Source organism: Homo sapiens, chromosome 21, assembly GCF_000001405.40.
Source record: "Homo sapiens chromosome 21, GRCh38.p14 Primary Assembly".
NCBI classification, from domain to species: Eukaryota; Metazoa; Chordata; class Mammalia; order Primates; family Hominidae; genus Homo; species Homo sapiens.
The window spans coordinates 19553502-19557021 of record NC_000021.9 but is presented as its reverse complement, the minus strand read 5'-3'; the positions used below and the strand labels follow the sequence as shown (position 1 = coordinate 19557021).

Below are 3520 nucleotides of genomic sequence, written 5' to 3'. Positions count from 1 at the left end.
CTTTGGTATGCTGATTATTTCAAACTGATGGCATTTGAAGAAAAGCAAATTCAGAAAGGGGCTTTCTCTGAACTTCCTTTGTCTGCCTAGGAACAGATCCTCCAAAGGGAACTCAATTATCATCAATCTCCTCTCCAGGAATTTTATAAGTGATATGGTTTGGCTGTGTCCTCACCCAAATCTCATCTTGAATTGTAGCTCCCATAATCTCCCCGTGTTCTGGGAGGGACCTGGTGGGAGGTAATTGAATCATGGGGGTGGGTTTTTCCCATGCTTTTCTTGTGATACTGAATAGGTCTCATGAGTTCTGATGGTTTTATAAAGGGCAGTTCCCCTGCAGACTCTCTTGCCTGCTGCCATGTTAAGACGTGCCTTTGCTCCCAATTTGCCTTCCACCGTAATTGTGAGGCCTCCCCAGCGAACATGTGGGACTGTGAATCCATTAAGCCTCTTTTTTTTTTTAAGTAAATTACATGGTCTCGGGTATGACTTTATTTGCAGCATGAGAACGGACTAATACAATAACCCAGGAAGATTGACTTCTATCCCAGGAAAAAAAGTACCGGGAGTCAACAATACTCCCAGACAAACTATGTCACAGGCTGTTACCTATTATTCTGAGGGCCTACTCATCTTTCTTCAAAATTATTTGCTTTCTCCTTACTTGTTTACATATTCCCATCTCTTTTTCTCTTAGGAAGTAGGTATTTAAGCTTCTAGATCATATTCAGTTTGGGGTATTTGGTTTTCTTTCATGTAATGCCCCCATATACATGATAAATTTTCTTGTCTGCCTACTCAGTTTATTTCAGCAACCCTATTATCAAATGCTTGGAGGGTGGAGGGAAAATTTTCCATTACCTATGTGAACAAAACCACTTCTGATCTGACTCTTAAGTTTTCTCAATTGATATGGAATGTAAAAGGAAAATAAAACTTGGGACCCCAGTTCACCATGCCAAAAGAAAAAATTAAGCTGATGGTTGCGTCATGCAAGAAGCTGCTTTTCCTTTTATTCCTAAGCAGATAGCTACAGATAAAATGTTAAATATGTCCACAGATAGCTACTGTATGTTCACCTTATTTTGTGTAAAATGCTGCTCTACTGAGTGCCAGAAGAATACATAATTGACTCTTCCCTTATCTGCTTCTTTTCTCTTGCAATATGTGGATTATTATGCCCTCTCTCTTTCCCCTTCAGCTCACTTTTCTCCTTTAAATATTGAAGCCCTCAAAGTTATCTTTGGAGAAAGGCACAGACCACAGACTGTTTATGTGATTCCATCTTTATTTCTTCAGGGGAAATCCTTAGCCTTAGCAAAATAAACTTCTAAATTGATTGAGACCTGTCTTAGATAGTTTTTAGTTTACAGAACAATATAGAGGGAAGAGATATAACTGAGAACTAGAAAATCTAATATTGGTTATCAGAAAATTTTCCCAGACAGGACTGTTTCAGAGCACTATTTTGCACACACATACACATATACAAATCTTAGAGTGTTCTTTCAATTTCTGAACTGTCAAATTGGTGAGGGAGAAAGTTAAATCCCTGTATATACATAGGGTACATAAATTATTATAGATCTGAGATTTTAATGAATTGTGGAATTTTAAATAAATTTCATTTATTTAAAAAAATCATAATTCTCTTTATGAATTTCTACTTGGCTGCACTGGAAGGCATGTTTAAGTCAGGATCTTTTATAGATAAAGCAAGGGAAAATAGTTTTATATTTCTAACAGATAATTCCAATAGGTGCTGGCAATTAACATGAACTATGCTCATTAGCACACCTTAACTCCTCCCTCTTAAACATCACCAGGAAATCTACTGTGTTCAATGTCCTCCAACATTTTATTGATCATGCACCTCAAGCTGTCTTCCACATGGACTTGAACAGAGATGCATAAGCCAAACAACAGGGTAAGAATAAAAAGAATCATACAATTATCAGCATTCAATCCAGTTAATTCTGAATTGGTGCATACTCTGCTATTATCTTTTTTTTTTCTCATAAAACACAATGATAGAGGGTCTACCAGTTTGCAAATTGCCTCAGTTATGCAGGCTATTTGTTGCCATACTGGCAAAAAATGAGGGAAGAGATGGGTTTTCTTTATGTTCTCATATAAAATTTATTTTGAAAAGACAGTGAATGCCTCTTTTCAGACTTTTTATGGTCTCATATTAACATCATTTAATTGAGATTCAAGTCTCATACAACAAACACTAGAGTATTATGCATATAAATAATGTGCTTGCAATTTATACATTTGATTATTAAACACATCATGTAATTGTTATTTAGTATTTCTTATTTATCAGTAAATGACGTTAATATAAGTGTTCCTCGATCATATACTGATAGATTTACCTAGTAACCAGGTAATTTTTGCTAAGCAAATCATTTCAAAAACAATACAACAAACCTCCTGCCTCAGACAGCAATTCAAACAGTGCCACGAAGTATTTTCTGGCACTATTCTCGTTAGTCTTTCTCCAGTTTTGGCTAATAGCAATTCACAGTCTCAGCTTAATGTCTGCAATGATGCACCCTGATGAGTGAGAGCTTTTCTCAGCATGAGTCTTATTAGCATTTTTCTGTGCTTGGCATTAAGCAACTCAGTACTCCCTGTAGCCTCACCCCTTCATTGCCCCCAGCAGAAGGCTCTGATTTCTTTAAAGAAAGAAGCATTCTCTACTTGCTGTACAAAACATTTTTTTTTGTTAAGTTTAACCTACTGGAGACAGGTGAAAGACTGACTTTCAGCATCTGCACAAGAGACTACCTCCAAGAGTTCTTTGCATTAGTATGTAAAGCAATAATCAGTAAGTAGTACCTTTTGACAAACAACAGGTGGCTTTTCATTCTAAAAGAGGCAGTATCTTATTGTGAATCAAAGCTACCCCATGGTTCTGCCATCACTTCACTGTACCTCCTACCAGCTCAGAGCATATAGATATCTTTGCAGACTAGAGCAGCTCCACTCTCTCCAGTGTTGCCTTGCATGCTTAAATTCAACTTCAATGGTCTGGCAAGTCACTTCACCAGTGTATGCTTTCCTTGCACTCTCAAATCACAGGGGGCTTTTGAACTGAAAAAACAGGCTTCCTAATCAGAGAAAAGACACCATAATAGAGCATTCTCTGTAAGAATACTCAACACAGGAATAAGCACACACAATGCAGATTTCCCTTTGCTTTTACCCCATACTTGCTACTCATAACCATGTGCTCTGCAATGAAACACTCCTTATTGAATGAACATGTAATTCGGCTATGAAAAACTTTTAACCATTGAACTCTATTTAGTTGAGTACACCAGCAAGATTAGATGTGCCAAGATTATGTCTGCCCTAAATGAATAAGAAATTAATTTCCAAAGAATAAAATACCAATACTTCAATTTTCCCTGAGGTGTCAAAGACTTTATTAACAGGTGTAAGGCAAACGAAGATGAGTTCAATTACGTATTTATGCCATATGGAAACCAACCCAGAGGTTCCATGGAGAATG

General features: G+C 37.0%; 2 annotated features.

The window, feature by feature from the left end:
* Nucleotides 2115-2683: an enhancer, noted in NCBI's record as "OCT4-NANOG hESC enhancer chr21:20926653-20927221 (GRCh37/hg19 assembly coordinates)". NCBI's record gives its function as "activates a minimal SCP1, AML or CMV promoter by ChIP-STARR-seq in naive and primed H9 embryonic stem cells {active_cell/tissue: H9 hESC(naive and primed)}" and the evidence as "EXISTENCE:reporter gene assay evidence [ECO:0000049][PMID:30033119]".
* Nucleotides 2684-3253: an enhancer, noted in NCBI's record as "OCT4-NANOG hESC enhancer chr21:20926083-20926652 (GRCh37/hg19 assembly coordinates)". NCBI's record gives its function as "activates a minimal SCP1, AML or CMV promoter by ChIP-STARR-seq in primed H9 embryonic stem cells {active_cell/tissue: H9 hESC(primed)}" and the evidence as "EXISTENCE:reporter gene assay evidence [ECO:0000049][PMID:30033119]".